Genomic DNA, 18,688 nt, shown 5'->3' on the forward strand with positions numbered 1-18,688 from the left:
GATGTTGGTGACCTACAGATGGGGTTTTGGTGTAGACCTTTTTGTTGACGTTGATGCTATTCCTTTCTGTTTGTTCATTTTCCTTCTAACAGTCAGGTTCCTCTGCTGCAGGTCTTGGAGTTTGCTGGAGTGCCACTCCAGAGCCTGTTTGCCTGGGTATCACCAGCGGAGGTTGTGGAACAGCAAATATTGCTGCCTGATCCTTCCTCTGGAAGGTTCATCCCAGAGGGGCAGCCACCTATATGAGGTGTCTGCCAGCCCTACTGGGAGATGTCTCCCAGTTAGGCTACACGGGGTTCAGGGACCCACTTGAGAAGGCAGTCTGTCCATTTTCAGAGCACAAACGCCATGTTGGAAGAACCACTGCTCTCTTGAGAGCTGTCAGACAGGGGCGTTTAAGTCTGCAGAAGTTGTCTGCTGCCTTTTGTTCAGCTATGCCCTGCCCACAGAGGTGGAGTCTAGAGGCAGTAGGCCTTGTTGAGCTGCAGTGGGCTCCACCCAGTTCAAGCTTCCTGGCTGCTTTGTTTACCTACTCAAGCCTCAGCAATGGTGGATGCCCCTCCCCCAGCCAGGCTGCCTCCTCGCAGATCAATCTCAGACTGCTGTGCTAGCAGTGAGCAAGGCTCCATGGGCATGGGACCTGCTGAGCAAGGCACGAGAGAGGATCACCTTGTCTGCTGGTCACTAAGACCTTGGGAAAAGCTCAATATTTGGGCGGGGAGTGTCCCGTTTCTCCAGATAATTTGTCACAGCTTCCCTTGGCTAGGAAAAGGAAATCCTTCAACCCCTTGCACTTCCCGGGTGAGGCAATGCCCCACCCTGCTTCAGCTCACCCTCTGTGGGCTACACCCTCTGTCCAACCAGTCCCCATGAGATGAACCAGGTACCTGAGTTGGAAATGCAGAAATCACCCGTCTTCTGCATCAATCATGCTGGGAGCTGCAGACCGGAGCTGCTCCTATTCAGCCATCTTGGAACACCTTGCTTGTTAGGTTTTTTTAAAATAACTATAATTGTGGGGAGACTACAGTAGGTAGAAACACAGAGAATGGAAAAAAGGAATGTTTTTAGGAAAATTTTAGAGTTGTATTGCTTGAATAGTAGCAATTTCTCAGCCTTGCTTTGTGTTTCTTACCCTTGATATTTTTGAAATGTACATGCAGTTATTTTGTGGAATGTCCCTCAATTTGGAATGAATAGAATATATCACTAAATTGAATAAAATCACACTAATTGAATTTCAGTCCATGGTAAAAAATCAGCCTGAAATTCTACCTCAAATTCATACCCAAAGATCACATCTGTCCTTGGATCAAAGATGAGGACTAGTTCTGTTTTGACAACTTCTAAAAAGTGAGTTTATTCAACAATTATTTTGACAAATTTGCTTCAGAGGAAAGTTAGAGTGCTGGAAATGGGCCCAAAAGGAAGAGCGCATGCAGGGGTGCCCTGCCAAATGTTTTGCCAATAGCAATGATCTAATTGGCAAGCCATATTCAAATTCAAGTGTGTGACTGTTGATGCTGTTGGTGATTTTCAAAGAAGAGAAAATTGTGCTCCTATCTGTTTTTCTTTTAAGTTTTTATTTTGACATAATTTCAACTTGCAGAAAAGTTGCTGATTTATACACTACCCCTTACCACCTTGATTCACCAATTGCTTATATTTCACTCCATTTGCTTTAGCATTCTGTGTTTATGTGTAGTTCTGTGTGTGTGTGTGTGTGTGTGTGTGTGTGTGTGTGTGTGTATTAGCATATTCTTTCAGAACCATTTGAGAATAAGTTGCAGACATCACAGTACTTTAACCTTAAATAATTATTCTAAGAACAGGAATATTTTCTTATGTAACTACCAGACAGTTATCAAAATCAAGATTTTTAGAATTGATATTATCTAATTGACAGTCCATGTTCAAATTTTATCAGTTGTTCTCATAATGTCCTTACAGCTCTTTTTTCCTTGTCTGTGACCATACGTTGCATTTAGTTGTCATGTCTCTTTAGTTTCCTTTAATCTGAAATAGTTCCTCTCACTTGCTTTGTGTTTCTTGCCCTTGGTATTTTGGGAGCATACAGACATTATTTTTAGGATGGCTTTGCTATTTTTGAGGTGTAGTTTGAGGAGTACCATAGGACCCCATTGCCTGAATAGAGCTGCCTTGTCAGTATACTCATGCATCTGGGATGCCCAACATCTGGATAACTGCTTTAATTTAAGACATTCTTTATTGAACATTCCTATTAAGTCATTTATATTATCTTGAGTCAATGCTTTAAAATTTATTATAACACTCTGTGACTGTATTTGTTACAAAATAGGCTATGCAGCTATAACAAAGAGACCCAGACATGACACAAACAGAACTTTGCTTCTCTCTTATATAACTGACCAGGAAAATGTGTTCTTGAGCTGTTTGGGTGCCCCTGCCATGTTCATCACATGGTTTCTATCTCTGAGTCCACAGCAGCTGCTCCAGGTCTTGCTCACCCAAAGAGTGGGAAATGCCAGAGATGTGTGAGCACATACCTTTTTGGAGGCATGAACTGGAGATATGGCAGCATCACTTCTCCTTATGCCACACTGCCCGGAACACACCAACCTACAAGAGAGGCTGGGAAATGGAGTCTTTTGTCGGTACACCTATACCCTGCCATCCTATTACTGGAAACAGTGAGAATGGTCCTGGTGGACACCTGATAGTTCCTGACCCAGAAACCATCAACATACATTAACATTTCCTGATTAGTGGCCTCTCATGTAATTAGTCCCATAGCCAAAGGTATAATGTGTTGGGAATGAGAAATGTAGTGAAAAGCCCAATTTACAGAAAGTCTGCCTAGTCAATGCATCCCTAAACAGGTAAATGCAAGGGGAATTGCTGAGATGAGAAACCTCCTGAAGATCCATTAGATGCCTGGAAAAAGAATGCAGTTGGTCAAGCCTCTCAACCTCACTTATTACCAAGCACTGTCCTCTGCATATTATACTCCAATGATACAGAATCACTTGTAAGGTTTCCCTTGTGTGTCTATTATTTCTTATTTCTTCCAGCTTGGATCTCACTTGTACGTGTGCCTGGAATGTCCTTCTCACCCCCACTACTATCTAACTGGTAACTACCAACTCATCTCTGGCATTTATTCAAATCTCACCTACTCTGAGAAAGTGCTCTTGACTCCTGGGACATGATAACCATTCCCAGACAGCTTACACTGACAGCACTTAGTGTCCCAAAGCATTTACACATCTGTCTCACCATACCGGACTCTAAACTTCTTGAGGGCAGAGACTGTGCCTTACTAGTTTTGTAGCTTTAGTGCTCCATGGTTCAGAAGTGTAGGCACGTGTTATATACTTTTCTAACATTTTGAAGAGTGACAGCTAGGAAAAAAGCCATAAACTCAAAAGAAGGCATTTTAGGAGATTAGGTGACCCGCTTGAGAATCACTGATGGCTGAGGGAAAGAAACCAATGAAGAAGGAGAGACTGTAGAGGAGGAAGAGAGATTTGATTCAACAAAATGGGAGACAAGGCCGGGTGCAGTGGTTCATGCTTGTAATCCCAGCACTTTGGGAGGCCGAGGTGAGCGGACCACTTGAGGTCAGGAGTTCGGGACCAGCTTGGGCAACATGGTATAACCCCATCTCTACTAAAAATACAAAAATTAATCCGGCATGGTGGCACCCGCCTATAATAGCAGTTACTCGGGTGACTGAGACACGAGAATCGCTTTAATCCAGGAGGTAGAGGTTGCAGTGAGCTGAGATTGCACCACTGCACTTCACCCTGGATAACAGAGTGAGACTGTGTCTCAAAAAGAAAAAGAAAGAAAAGAAAATAGAAATAAGAATACCAGGCTCATCAAAGAAGAATGCCCAGACTTAAAAATAAAATTTAAGGAAGATACAGGTATTACTGGAGGAAGTTAAAGAGAAACGATGGAGTAGAGAGAAGGTAAATTGAAGTTGCTTTTCATATGTTTGCATACATATATCAAGAAGTCATGTACCAAATTCCCTTCAAATTTATGTATGTATGTTCAAAATCAGATTTTAAATTTAACTCTCTACAAAATACACTTAAACAAGGTAAAGTCTATCCTTAATTTGAGGCCCAAATTCTCTTTAACATCGCATTTTGATGGGAAACTTGGCCTTCTGGTTCTGATAAAATCTAACAACCTTGGTCATAGTTATTTTGAAGTAACTAGCATAATATTAAAAAATAGATTGAAGAGGGGTGTGAAGGGAAAGACTTGATAAATGCATTTGTTTCTGATAAGTAGTGATGAGGTTCAGATCTTTTTCTCCAGATGGCTTTTAAAATAATTTAAAGAAAACTATGTTGTTCAGTAATGGTAAATATCAACATCATGGTCTCGCTTGGATACCGGACTCACAGTGAGCAGAAAGAAGCTTTTCTCTGTCATCTCTCCCTCCCCTGCAGCCCCTCCCTTCATGCCCACCGAGGGGCAGGCCTTTGGCACAGGCTCTCCTGAAGCCCCGATGCCTGCCACCAGTGCCTTCCAGTGAGTCCAGCGCAGGCCTGCTTTACCTCGGGTTTTCCTTGCTAGCCTCAGGACACCAAGATTCACTGCTGCCTGTGTCACCCTCAGCCCTTTGATAAAAATCAGCCCATCTTGAACCATCAGGGTGGTGAAAGTTTAACGATATGATTATGGTGAGGTGCACTCTAGGTAGGGGCCTGGAAGGGCCTTTCATGGGATTTTCTTTTCTAATAATTCAGGTGATACTTCAAACTTTCTGAAGATCAGAGTTTCCACTACCCTGCCCCACAAAGGCAATGGAGTGTGGCCTTTTCACAGTATAACTATGGCTGACAACAAATAAAAAATAATGAAATAATGATAGCTGGTATTTATTGAATGCCCACGGCAGTCCAGGCATTGGCTACTCAGTTTACACTTAGTATTTCTGGTCATTTTTACAATAATCCTGTGAGCTACTCCAGTCTCTTGTTGCCTAGATGGCTTGAATTTCCATAATAGTAAAAAATGGGCAAGAGGTAAGTATTGTAGCAGCAGAACTCCAGATGTTATGTTATGCACTGCCTGTCTCCCAGCATTTCTGGGGAAGAAGGTATTTGCCATGCTCCTCAAGCCCCATAGAACAGCAAGCAGGATCGATCCATACCTGAAGTCCACTTGCCTGCTGCTCTCCCTGCCTGTAGACATCCACTTGTCAATTCTTTTTGTCATAAGAACTGCAGCTGTCACTAAAATTTACACTATTATTTAATTATTTTAGTAAGGGAACTTAATAAAAATGAGAACCTTATAAAAATAAATACATTGCAGCACTAGTCCTAATAGCTGCGATGTGAGAACAATCTAAATGTCCGTTGATAGACAAATGAAGAAAGAAAATATCACACACAAACACACACACACAAATATTATTCGGCCTTAAGAAAGATCTGCTGTGTAACACCATATCTTTAGAACACTTTATTGCACACTGAAAAATCTGTTAAGAGAGTAGCTCTCATCTTAAGTGTTCTTACCACAATAAAATAAATGTAAAATACACCTTTTTTAGTAAAAGCAGAGAATATTCCATAAAATAGGTATGATATTAAAAAACATGCCGTTAAACCTGAAAACTATAGTTTGTGCTTTTAGTCTTTGCATGCACACACACATGCACACAGATGCAAATGATCTGCCTTCAACAACATATTACAGTTACTCATTTTAATATATATTACATATCCTTCAGTGTTCTTGCAGCATGCAAAAAGAATATCATTTCTATAATGAGGCAAACTGATGGGAGTCAGGTTGCTTTTCAGCTTCAATGTATATTCCTTGGCACCAATGTGAGATTCAGCCTCTAAGTAGTGCCTGACACTTGACATTTGATGACAGACCTTGCTATTACATATCGGTTTTTAAAGCTCTTATCTATAACAGGTGATCTTGCTACCCTTTTGATAGTGTTTTATAGTTTATTTTTTGGATGAATGTAAGGCATGTTTCTCAATCCTTCCTAGGATTTCCCTATCTAAGGAACACTAGACTAAATTCCCCTTTTAAAAAAAAATCCTTTTTTCTCTTCTTTGTCTCTACCTACCCAAGTCTCAGCACAAGAATTAAGGCAATAAAATAATAATTTTTAAAAATGTATCAACCAAAATGGCTGCTTTCCAAACCTTGAAAAGAACTGTGGTGTGTGGGTAGCCTAAGCTATTTTCTCTATTAGCCATGCAGTCAAGGCCTAAATACGACAGGTTCCTCAGAAATACTTTGCTTGTCAGTATCATGGTAATGATTCAAGAACAGTTAGGCTAAATGCCTCAGACTTTTCTAAACACATAGCTGATGCCATGTTCTTTTCCATTTTACGAGCTGCTGTTGACATTGAGATTTTCCACATCCTCAGAGCCGTTATGCTACTTCTGTTGGAAGGATTGGCTATTTTAGTCAACGTGAGCTGCGCTGACAAAAACGTGCCTAGAACATCCTCTGGTGGCGACAGTGGGAATCATCAGTTTTTGACATAACTGAAGGTTCCTTGTTCAGCCCCATTCCGCAGGAATGACACTTACCAAGGAAACAGTCCCATGACTGAACACACGCAGCGACTGAGAAACAGCCTGCTTTGAAGACTTTACCGCAACCCTGCCACATATTTTGGGCATTCTGCTGCGAAAGTTCTTAATACGGGATGGCACCATCTCGCCACAAGACTTGCTTCCCACTCTTTTCTACCACTGGTGTAAATCTGGAAGTGAAAAGTAAAGAGAACTTACAAATCAGCTTCTGAAAGACAAAGTCTCATATGATACCTCTTTGCAAACTTCCACAAACACAAACAAGTTATTAATGCGTTGCTTGGATTTCTTTGTAATGGAAATTAAAGTTTCATAAAAGCTGTTCGATTGTGACAGTTTGAGGTTCAGAAGCTGAAAGGTGACATTTACTTTTTTTTTCTTTTTTTTTTTTAGATGGAGTCTCGCTCTGTCGCCCAGGCTGGAGTGCGGTGGCATGATCTCGGCTCACTGCAACCTCCGCCTCCTGGGTTCAAGCGATTCTCCTGCCTCAGCCTTCCGAGTAACTGGGACTACAGGTGCCTGCCACCATGCCCAGCTAATTTTTGTATTTTTAGTAGAGACGGGGTTTCACCATGTTGGCCAGGATGGTCTAGATCTTCTGACCTCGTGATCCACCTGCCTCAGCCTCCCAAAAGGTGACATTTTCTAACTGATGTTTGTGGTCTTTAGTGCTTTGCTTCAAAATTGCAAATCCTACAAAGACCCTTTTTTGTTTTTTCCCGACCCTAAATTAAATAAATCAGTAAGCAATGACAGCTTTCTGGAATGGAAAGGCTAAGGGGTCAATTATGAATTAAATTAAGCTTATGTAGCAATCAAAACCTGTGAATTGGGTGAGAAGAAATATCCATTTAATCCCAGTGACATGAGCCACTGAGAACATCCTGCCTCCTGATAACAGGCCACGTGTTCTTTGTGTTTTATTACACATCATAGAATGAATTAGATCTAATGAGGCTGGCTTGTGTGGCTAATTTCTTTAATGATTTTGATTAATGTAAAGTTTAAAAGATGTGACACATGACTATCTGCAGAATGTGATGCTAATGACAACATTTGATGGGTCAACTGGCTCCCAGAGACATCATCATCCACAGGAATTACTGCTGTGTAAATTTTTCCTTTGTAAATTCTTTAGGATGTAAAGAAGGTCAAAGTGAACATATTTTTCTGATTCATGGGCTAGAACCCTAAACTTAACAATTGGTTGAAACTAACAATACTGTGATAAAGATGAAAATATCCGTTGCCCCCTCTGGAACAAAACAGATTAACTGACAGCATTTCTAAGACAATGCATCACCCTCCACCACTTACCTTTCTTATAGATGGAGGCGTCTTCAATTTCAAGAAACAAAAGCTGAACTCTGGCTAGATAAAGCATAGGGTAATATATTAGAAAAATCTGGGAAATCTCCCAAGTTTGGAGGGAAGACTGAAGAGCCAGCTTGGAAAAGTCAAGAAGCAGCTCCTCGGAGCCTTGCTCAAGATGGCGGAAGGAGATTCGGGGATCCCTCCAGCTCCCCTCACAGCTGAGCTGGCCCTTGAATTTACCATCCCACTCAGACGCGGCACTGTGGAGAAGTATTTCTCCAAAGAGAAATTGGATAGAGAAGGGGTAATGCGGCCGCGCGAGGAGGCTCACGTGTGTAATCCCAGCACTTTGGGAGGCCGAGGCGGACGGATCACCTGAGGTCAGGAGTTCGAGACCAGCCTGACCAACATGGTGAAACCCCGTCTCTACTAAACATTCAAAAATTAGCATCTGTGGCGGGCATCTGTAATCCCAGCTATTCGGGAGGCTGAGGCAGGAGAATCGCTTGAACCCGGGAGGCAGAGGTTGCAGTGAGTCGAGATCGCGCCATTGCACTCCAGCCTTCCAGCCTGTGTGACAGAAAAAAAAAAAAAGAAAGAGAGAGAGAGAAGGGGTAATGTATGCTAGGTAACCAGAAAGAATGTCAATTGCCCCCTACTCAAGTCATGGTCACCCATCTGCCTTAGCCTGCACCTCTTCAACTGGTCTTGGATATGAAGCACTGGTGAGCTATGTACCATGTAACTCCACTTAAAATCCTTTCTGTGTACGCTTTAAATATCTTGGCTTTCTTATTGCAGATTTTCAAAATTGTAACTTTGTTTTTAATCCTAAAGTGGCACAAGTCTTCTGAGAAACCGATGGATAAAATTGTTGCCTGAGGCTTGCTTCACAATTTGGAGTGGCAGGCAAAAGTGGAGAAACCAGAAATGACCTCTCTCTTGTTTGATAAAAGCAGTCAACAGTCACTGTTGACCCATGCGCTAGAAGTTGAACTTGGAAAGTGGTAGGCCCCAGGGTCCCATCCAAGAGAGCTGGAGTTCATGGAAAGACTCCCATCCACCAGAGAGCTAGAGCACACACCAGAACCAATGCTAGGGACAGAGCACACACAGAGAGCTAGCAAGAAAGACTCACCTCAAACACCAGATACTGAGACCCAGAGCAGGACACTAAGGCTAGTGCAACCCTGTTGGGAGGGACTGAGTTTGAATACACTCCCTAACGTGACCTGCAGCGGCCATACAGGACCGCACAGAGCTGAGCCTACAGGAGGCAATTCTTCAATTTTTCTGTAAAGCACTACATTTGCAAAGTAATAATTCCTATGTGTGATGACATCTCCAGAAGGCAGGTGACCTTTAAAATGGTGCTATTATCCTGCCATTCAGAGACAGTCCTGTAGCCCAGATTAATGAAGTCAGAAAAAATACAACCACAGTATCTATTCAGTCTTGCTCTCCCTGCCCAACTCTCCAAGGGATAGGAAAAACATGTGAGTTCATTGAGGGAATAGACGGAAGGAGATCTCATAATTTTCTAGCAAGAAAGAGGTGGAAAGTGCAAATCAAACCTGTTCACCTGTTATTACTAGGTAAGAATGAATTAAGTATCTTTAACATGTTTTTCTGTATTATCTTTATTATTATTTAAAAAATCATAAATAATACTTATGAGGGCCATTATATATTTAATCCAAACATCGCCTAACAAACATTATATGCACCTCAGAAAAAATGTCCCTCAAGGGCGGGGAGAAATTGCTATATAAATGTAATGAAAAGCAAAGTAATGAAAGAGGTTTATCCTGGTATATGCTTGCATGGAAAATGTTAGGAAAGAATCTGGAGAACTAATTGTATTCATTCCTAGTGAGCAGAAGCTATGCTGGTTGTTTTCAGTATCACTTATCATAATGTATTGTTAGGCATGACAATAACAAAAATAGATGGCAGTTACACTTTGTTTTGATCTAATTAGCTAATGTTTTCCTAATTCAGATTATGAAATATGTATGTCCCCCAAATCTAAATAGGATTATAAGGATGTAGAAATGAAGTCACATGATTCCTGCCCTCAAGGAGATCATGATCTACTCTGCAGATCTATCATAACTACAAGGCTGAGTGTAACACAGGCAATAACCACAAAGTGTTAAAATGAACAAAGAGAAGACCATCTATATGGAACACGACACCCTCAGAAACATGGAACAGCTTCTCACAGACCTCTGATTTGGTAGGAAGAGCTTTCTAATAGAGAACTTCATGTATTTATTCTTATTCTCCTTTACATATTATGAACGAAACAGTACCCTTCACACCAGTAGACTTCAAACTTCATTTTGCATAAGGACATCTAAAAGATGGTAAACATGCAGTTGCCACCCAAATTCCTAAGCATCTGATTCAGGGGGTCTACAATTTTAATGTGTACTCCTTGAACCATACTTCGAGAAATATCATTTAGACATTGATATTGTTCAATTCCTTCAAATATTTTACCCATTAAAGACTGCTAAAGTGAGGTTATAAGGTTTTGGTAAAGTCTCATTAAATATTTATAAAGATACTGCCATCCCTCCAGAAGACATCTACTCACTATCTCTCTCTGGTCAAACCACACTAACTTTGCTTACTCTTTAGGCTAGGTATGAATGTGGCTACATTTCACTAAGGCTAATGAAGAATTCTGGGATGAGCTTAGAAGAGCAAAATTCACACACCTTAAGGTATTATTTGCCCACAAACCATGCTTTGAGAAGTGGACATGTTTAATATAACAACATTTAAGAGGGACAGACATAGACATTTTGTTTCATTACATTTCACATCTTATGTGCTACCTTATCATTGTATCAAAAAAAATTATCAGGTTTATATGACCATTGATTTGTTCTTAATAAACCCTATATAGCCTATATCTCAATTCATTTGACTGTAAAATCCCAAATAGACTATAAAAACAAATTTCTAGAGTTAATGAACTAAAAAATTACCATTAATTGAAGTACAAGCATTTATTTCAATTAAAGAATGTCACAATATTTAGTTTACATCTCACAGCTACCACCATAAATCTAATCAATGGCATAATTTATACTGAAGAGCAATTTGAATAATTTAATACACTGTATTTAATGCTGGTCATTACACATAATTGCAAATGTATACTATTATAAATGCAATATGTGCTGTAACATGGTTTATTCTGTTTATCTCCTGTCATATTACTTATTAATATTACTATTTGTGAACAAAATATAGGAAACTATTCCTTTCTTATCAAATAGCCTCAGAAAAAGTTTAATCAGTTTAAGCCCCCTGGGAAAAAATCCATCTTTCATAAATAAACTCATAAAAACAACAGACTTTATAAATATTTAACATGCAATTACTCAGGATTATTAAATAAATTCTATTATCTATATTCCAATTTTTCCTTTTGTGCCAATCAGCTTTTGTTAAAGTATTAGTCAATTTCTACAGAAGAAAAATAAAAAGCAAATATATGATTGCAAATCTAAGATTTACCTAACACAGCCTATTTCAAACACTCCCTTCTTCTAGAAATGAAGGTTAAGATTAAGGTTAATATCATCATGACTTATGATGACAGCATGTACCTATTATATGATATGGTGAGAATGGCACTTCATCTCTGTGATCTTCCTCAAACCACAAGCCCAGCCAAACCATAAGGAAAACATTAGACAAAGTCAAATTGAGGGACATTATATGAAACACCTGACCAGTACTCCTCAAAATTGTCAAGGTCACTAAAAACAAGGAAAATCTGATCTCTAACTCTCATCTGAAGACTGTTCCAGAAGAGCTCTGGTTATATCTAGAATAATGAATGCTTTGGTTGGAAGGAATTATTGTGCAAGTAATTTTGCAGCGCTAAAGGATCCAGAAGAGAGGCTGCAAAAAATAAGGCTATATGAGTATAAAGCACAGCTATTTTCTGTTTAGTTAATACAGAAAATTTAGATACACAGGTGCTTCTGTATTATTTCTTAAAACATTTACCAAATGCCTACTGTGTACAAGATACTTTACTAGGTGATATGCTGAATACAAAGTTATATATTATGTAATCAGGTGTGATAGGTACATGTTGGAACTTGAAGCAATTCCAGCAGTTATACAGTTTTTTGGCTGTCTCTTTTTGCCTGAAAATCCTCAATGGCTTATTCAGAAAAGACAGACTCAGAAGGCCTAAAGAATTTTATCTCAGATGGATGGTAACCAGACCAGTGATGAGGAATATGACAGCATCATAAACAACATTGAAGAAGAGGAAAAAAGAGTTTGGCTCAGCTGAATCTGTGATTTTCAGAATGCTGAGTTACCCCCCAATTTGCAGAGCTTTAATTGTAGATTATGACCTACAAATTTCCCAACAGTTCTCAAACATTAATACCATCATGCAAACCCAGATGTTGGAGTTATTAGGCAACTATTTTAAAGCCCCTATTATAGCTATGCTCAAAGAGACATAAGGTAATTTGTTTGTAATAAATTAAGAGATAGAGAATCTCAGAACAAAAATAGAAACTATGAAGAAGAACCAAATGCACATTTTACAACTGAAAACAGAATTCCAGAACTAGAAAGTGTACTGAATGAGCTAAATAGCAGAATGAAAACAATAAAAATCATTCAATCTGAAAAAGAGAGAGAAAAAAGATTTTTTTTAATGAAGAAAGCCTTAGAACATGTGAGACAATTTCAAAATGTCCAACACATAAGTAAATGGAGACCCAGATGAAGAGGAGTAAGATAATGAAGGAGAAAATAATTCAAGAAATAATGACAGAAACCTCTCAAATTAGTTGGAAGATACGTATTGACAGATTTATAGATTCAACAACCTCAGCAACCTACAAACAGGATAAATTTGGAGAAATGGATGCCTGAGCACATTATATTCAAATTGGTTAAAAAAAAAGATTTAGTCATGAAAATAACCAGAGAAAAAGATACATTACAGAGGAACAATAATTTGGAAAACTACATACTTTTATGAGAAATCGTGGAGGCTCAAGACTGTGGAACATCTGTTTAGTGCTAAACGAAAGAAAGATTTTTTTTAAAAACCTGTCAACCCAGAAGTGTATATTCAATGATGATAACCTTCAAGAATGAAAGTGCATTTAAAACATATTCATATAAAGAAAAGCTAAGAATATGCACCACCAGTCTTGCACTACAAAATATGCTAAAGGAGATTCTTTCTGATGAAGGGAAATAATACCAGGGAAAATTCAGATCTTTAGGAATTGAAAAGAGCACTGAATGTGATAGAAATGTGTAAGTATACATAAAAGACTGGTTCATTTGATTTAAAAATTGCAACATTGTTTGAAGCATAATTATAATATTGTCATGGAAAATTTACAATATAATATGACAACTATAACATGAAGAACAATAAATGTAAATGAACATATATATACTGAAGTTCTTACATTTTATAAGTGGTAAAATATTATAATATGAAAAGTTAAGAATTGATATTTTAATTCTTAGAACAATTGTTTAAAAATAAAACCACAAGGTATAGCTAAAAAGCTAATAGATAAATTAAAATGGAATTTCAAAACACACTCAACTATTGAAAAAGAAGGTAATAAGGTTGAAACAAAGGAACAAAAACCAGAGGGAACAAACTGAAAATAGGTGTGGTCACATCAATAATTACATTAAAGGTCAATGGAATAAACACCCCAGGAGTCAGGGAGAAGACCTTACAAGCTTCCAGAAATGGAGAAAGAAAGTCATGTCACAAAGGATCAGAATGACATTAGACTTCTCAAAAACAACACTGGAGGCTGTGAAACATGGAACATTGTCTTCAAACTTCTTTTTAGAAAATAGTTATTTTTTCTTAGAATTTTACATATATCCCAAACTATTGATCAGATTTGAAGGTAGAATACAGATGTTTACCTTTTGCGTATCTTAAGATATGCAAAACTTAAGAAATACTTCTCATGAAGGTTTTCTCAGGATGGTCCTGGAGGATACATTCCTCCAAAAAGAGAAAGGAAGCCAAGAGAAAGAGAAACGTAGCAGGAAAGAAACAAGGGATCCAATATAGCAATGGAGTAAAGGCAAAGTCCAGGACAACTAGCAAAGAAGGCAGCGTATGTAACAGATGGTTTCTAAAGATTCTTCTTGAGGAAGATGACAATAATAAAGTTCTTGATAAATGAAGGTTTTTAGATAACTGACAAAGAATTCAAAGTTGAATTAGTGATAAGTATGTAGAAAACTAAGCAAACAAAACAAAAGGCAATTATCCCCTCAATGGTGTGGGGAGGAAGTTGCATAAGAAAGGATAGTAATGTTGGTACAATATAAGACTCAACTGCCATTATCTTTGACATATTTGAATTATTTAGAAATACTGACTATTGGCATAACTGAAATTACAATATACCAGTACTAAGAGTGTGAGAAGGTACTTGTTGGGCAGTGGCAAGGAGTAGTAACAGAGAGCTAAATCCTAATCTTTTCAGGGGGGTAATTATTAGAAATTGCTAAAACTTTTTTTAAAAAGCACCCACATAGATGCAGACATAGAGGTTAAAAAAAAATGAAAGTAAAGTGGCAGTGGCCTCAAAAATGGGTAAGAAGTGATGTAGGGAACTAGCATTACCAGGTATTTATATGGCTTTTTTAGTAGTAAAAACCAAAATTGATATAAAAGTGATTAAGACTTAAGAAGTTATAAAGTTCCTGAACCATAACTTGTAAGCTTTTGAGCATTTCTTTACCTTCACTTGAAAATTAAGATAATTATTTTATTTAATAAGTTTTTAAAGCAGGTAGGTGAAAAGTATTGATATATTGCCATTATATATTATAATAATTTAATATATGATAAATAATAATTTATCATATGCATGTAGGACACTTGACTTATTCATTCCTGTGGTATGCTCTATGTCATCTCCCTAATATATATGAGGATATAAATAAATACTGAACAATGATAAAAGAAAAAAAGTCTAAGAACATGTCACAGTTGAGAGGAGGCTAAGGAAACTTGATGACTAAATGTAACTTGATATTCTGAATGAAATTCTGGAACAGAAAAAGGATGCTGGAAAAAGTTCATAAAATGTAATTAAGCATGAACTTTCATTAATAATAATGTAGTATTGATATTGGTTCATTTATTGTGACGAAGGGACCACAATAATGAAAAATGTTAACAATAGGAGAAACTGGGTGAGGGGTGTGTAGGAACTCTCTGTACTACCTTTACAGCTTTTCTGTAAACCAAGCACTATTTTAAAATGAAATGATGATTTCAAGTTGGAAAAAAACAATAATATCAAGTGATAATCTGGGAGAAAATATTTGCAACATAATAGGCAAATGATTTGTGTCCAGAATGTAGCCTACAAATTGACTAGAAAAAAGACCAGAAAAAATAGAAAAGTGGGAAAAGCACTGGGACAGGCTGACATAAATACAAATATCCAGTAAACATAAAATTATAGTAAGCCTCAGCAGTGATCAAGGAAACAAAATTTAAATGACCACCTTGTATCCATCATGTTAGCAAATGTAAATTGACTACATCGAGGTCAAAATTAGAGAAACTGCACTGCTGGTAGAGCTGTAAATTATTACAGCCTCTTTGGAAAGCAATTTGACAGTATATATTAAAATTATAAATGCTTATACGCTCAGACCCAGAAATTCCTAATATCAATATCATTATTTACTTTCGATGCACAGTGGCAAGAAGGCAGGTACAGAAACATTCACTGCTGCATTGTTTGTAGTGGCAAAAAATTTAAAACTATGCACACATTCATGAATAGAGCAATTGTTACACAAATTAACCTATATGATAGTATATGTACACCATATGTATGAAATATAGAATATTATAGTTTTTAAAGTGAGGCAGATACGAGCTAACATAGATCTCTAAGATGTTGCTGAGGGAGTAAAAAAGCAAGCTATAAATCAACAAGTTTATGGTGACACTTTAAAAAATAAACAGAAAAAATTGCTAACAATGTTATATGTTTTATTGGGAACCCCAAAATAAATGTAATACACAGGAAGTAATATAGGAGATGCACACCAGCTTGATGGTAAATCTTGGGAGTGGCAGGGCTGGATGAGCATTCTAGTCCGAGAAGAACCCAGCCTAAGGGTGCTGATAAAGCTTTAGCCACCTGCTCTCCCTTGGCTGTGTCTGCTGATTTCTGGGGAGTAAATACACCAACTGTAGATGATTTAATGGCTCATAAAATACCTAAAATTTTAACAACTGTCTTTTCCAAGCCATACAAGCAGACTCCAGCACTTCAGTGACTGTAGTCTTACTCCTGTTTTTAAAACTTGTGTAGTTAGAAATTATTTTTAAACTTAAAAAAATATTTTATCTGAATGATTCTGGAGTACTCCAGAGGCAGAAATTTCCCAAATTGTATTAAAATCTTGAAATGCCACTAAGGGCTTCTGGTGTCACTTAAAATGTCTGTGTCAGCAATTGCAGTTCCAGGATCCCGCATAGTACATGCTGTCTTTCTGAAAATAGATATAAATAAACTTAAAATAATTTTAAACAAATACTTTATCTACTTTGTCAGCATTGGCTTCATGATCCAGCTGAATGAAGGGAGAGATTAATGGAGGATGTTTGTATTAGTTCTCTCTTCCATTTCTGCTGCAACGAATGACCACAAACTTAGCGGCTTAAAACAAGCAAATGCATTATCTTACAGTTCTGTAATTCACAAGTCCAAAAGGGTATCACTGGGCTGAAATCGAGGTGTCAGCTGGGCTGCATTCCTTTCTGGAAGTTCCAGAGTAGAATCCACTGCCTTGCCTTTCCCAGCTTCGAGAATGCACCCCCATTCCTTGACTGTGGCCTGCTTCCTCCATCCTCAGAGCCACATTAGTAAATGGACCACAGATGGCCCACTGTATCTATGCTATGCTGACTGGGACTAGGATTGGGCAATGGAGTTCTTTGGCCAAGGAAGTGTTGAAGCCTGTGCATCTCCTGCCTGTTAACTATTGTCTAACACACTAGAAAGAAGGAATACTTTGTCCAGACTTAAGTACCAAAGGCATTACAGTGACAATAACAATGGATCCTACAAAGGCAAATGTTATACAACAAAAGCTCTAATGGCACTAAGTGAGAAATTAGTGATGTGTTTATGAAAAAACTGAGGGGAACAGATATAATTAAAGGATCCCAAATTCTTTCAGTACCAATATGATGAATACACATTGACATGTATAGATAATAGGTAGGATACAGGAAGGTTAATCAAGTCAGAAGGAAAACAAAGGACTAATATTATTCCTTCCACATAGAGAAGGAACTTGGCTCTATTGTGGGGTGGGGGGAGGGGGGAGGGATAGCATTAGGAGGTATACCTAATGCTAAATGATGAGTTAATGGGTGCAGCACACCAACATGGCACATGTATACATATGTAACAAACCTGCACGTGTGCACCTGTACCCTAAAACTTAAAGTATAATAAAAAAAAATACTATCTTGTGTTTCATTGCTATAGATACAATAATAAAATCTAAGCCAATGGATGAGGATCTTTTGTATCTTATATAGTTGGCTAATAGTCCGGCTAAAGTACTCAAAAGAGTTTCAAGTTTGTGAGTTATAGAATTTGTAAGTGAGGAACAGATCATGAACCCAGGAGTTGAGTTTCTCATGGTGTTAAGGCTCAGCTGCCTGACATAGCATCTGGAATCCGGACCCAAGGCTCTAGATCTGGCTCTAGCTGGAAACTTCACTGGACCTTAGGGAGTCAGAGAGCTTCCGAGGCGTAATGAAGTATAATCACAGCCCCCTGGTTAGATGGCTTAGACAGATACCTCCTTCTTTCATTCCTCCTCTTTTTTATACCCCTGTGACCTTTCCAGGGATTCTTGTTTCATGAAAAGACAAAAGTATTAAAATGATCTGAAATAAAAACTTTACAGAAGACAAAAACTCTTTAAATTTTTGAGAACACTAATAAAAATAATGACTATTTCTGTTTCCAAAAAACACCGAAGTGAGAAATTACTACTCTGTTCTACCAACAAGAAAATACAATCAAAGGAAAGCTAAATTACTTTCTCCCCAAAGTAGGCCAAAATACAGGGCATTTTAATGTATGCATGAAGGAAAAAAACATTCCTACATCTACTCTTTCCTTTTTGTTTTATTTTGTTTCAATACAGAGTCATTATGAGGAGGAGCTGGTATGATAAAGAGGTATGGAGTAGAAAGGAAGATAATAGATTCAAAATAATTTTAATTCCCTCATGTATATATACTCTGCTCTTATATTTAAAGCTTGGATATGATTTTGTCCCCTGTGGAAAAAAGAGAAATATATCTGATGATCCATTTATAAAGACACAATATTTGTTCTTATGTTTCAAAACAAATAAATTTTAAGTAAACTCATATATATACTACTGATTTGTGTAATATTATATTTCTAATTCTGGAAGCACTTGGAAAAATAGCAAAATTCAAAGCCTCTTTTTCCCCAAAGGAATGAGGTTACAATCAGAAGCATAACTCTAAAATGCTCATGGTTAGATGTAATAAAGCTGAAGAAAGAGTTAGAATAGAATAGGATGCTAGACTGGCAAGAAATGGGAGTGAGAAGGAAAGAGGAATTTTTATGACTTACTTCAATTCGGCTTTATCTTTTTATTGGAATGAATATTGAATTTAAGAAGGAGCAATTACCAGCAGCTCTTAGAAAAGGTATGAGTTCAATGCTTGATGATTA

General features: G+C 37.8%; 1 long non-coding RNA gene and 1 pseudogene across 1 annotated transcript, besides 1 other annotated feature; one reads left to right on the forward strand and one right to left on the reverse strand.

The window, feature by feature from the left end:
- Window positions 208–709: an enhancer, noted in NCBI's record as "H3K27ac hESC enhancer chr8:61042587-61043088 (GRCh37/hg19 assembly coordinates)". NCBI's record gives its function as "activates a minimal SCP1, AML or CMV promoter by ChIP-STARR-seq in naive and primed H9 embryonic stem cells {active_cell/tissue: H9 hESC(naive and primed)}" and the evidence as "EXISTENCE:reporter gene assay evidence [ECO:0000049][PMID:30033119]".
- On the reverse strand, window positions 5,455–8,296 carry LOC105375863 (uncharacterized). The gene is made up of 2 exons (XR_928934.3): window positions 7,893–8,296; window positions 5,455–6,745 (listed from the first exon to the last, which is right to left on the reverse strand). It is a non-coding gene; the product is annotated as an uncharacterized LOC105375863 (long non-coding RNA).
- On the forward strand, window positions 12,001–12,322 carry SLC2A13P1 (SLC2A13 pseudogene 1; annotated as a pseudogene).

The sequence above is a fragment of the Homo sapiens genome, chromosome 8 (assembly GCF_000001405.40).
Source record: "Homo sapiens chromosome 8, GRCh38.p14 Primary Assembly".
NCBI lineage: Eukaryota > Metazoa > Chordata > Mammalia > Primates > Hominidae > Homo > Homo sapiens.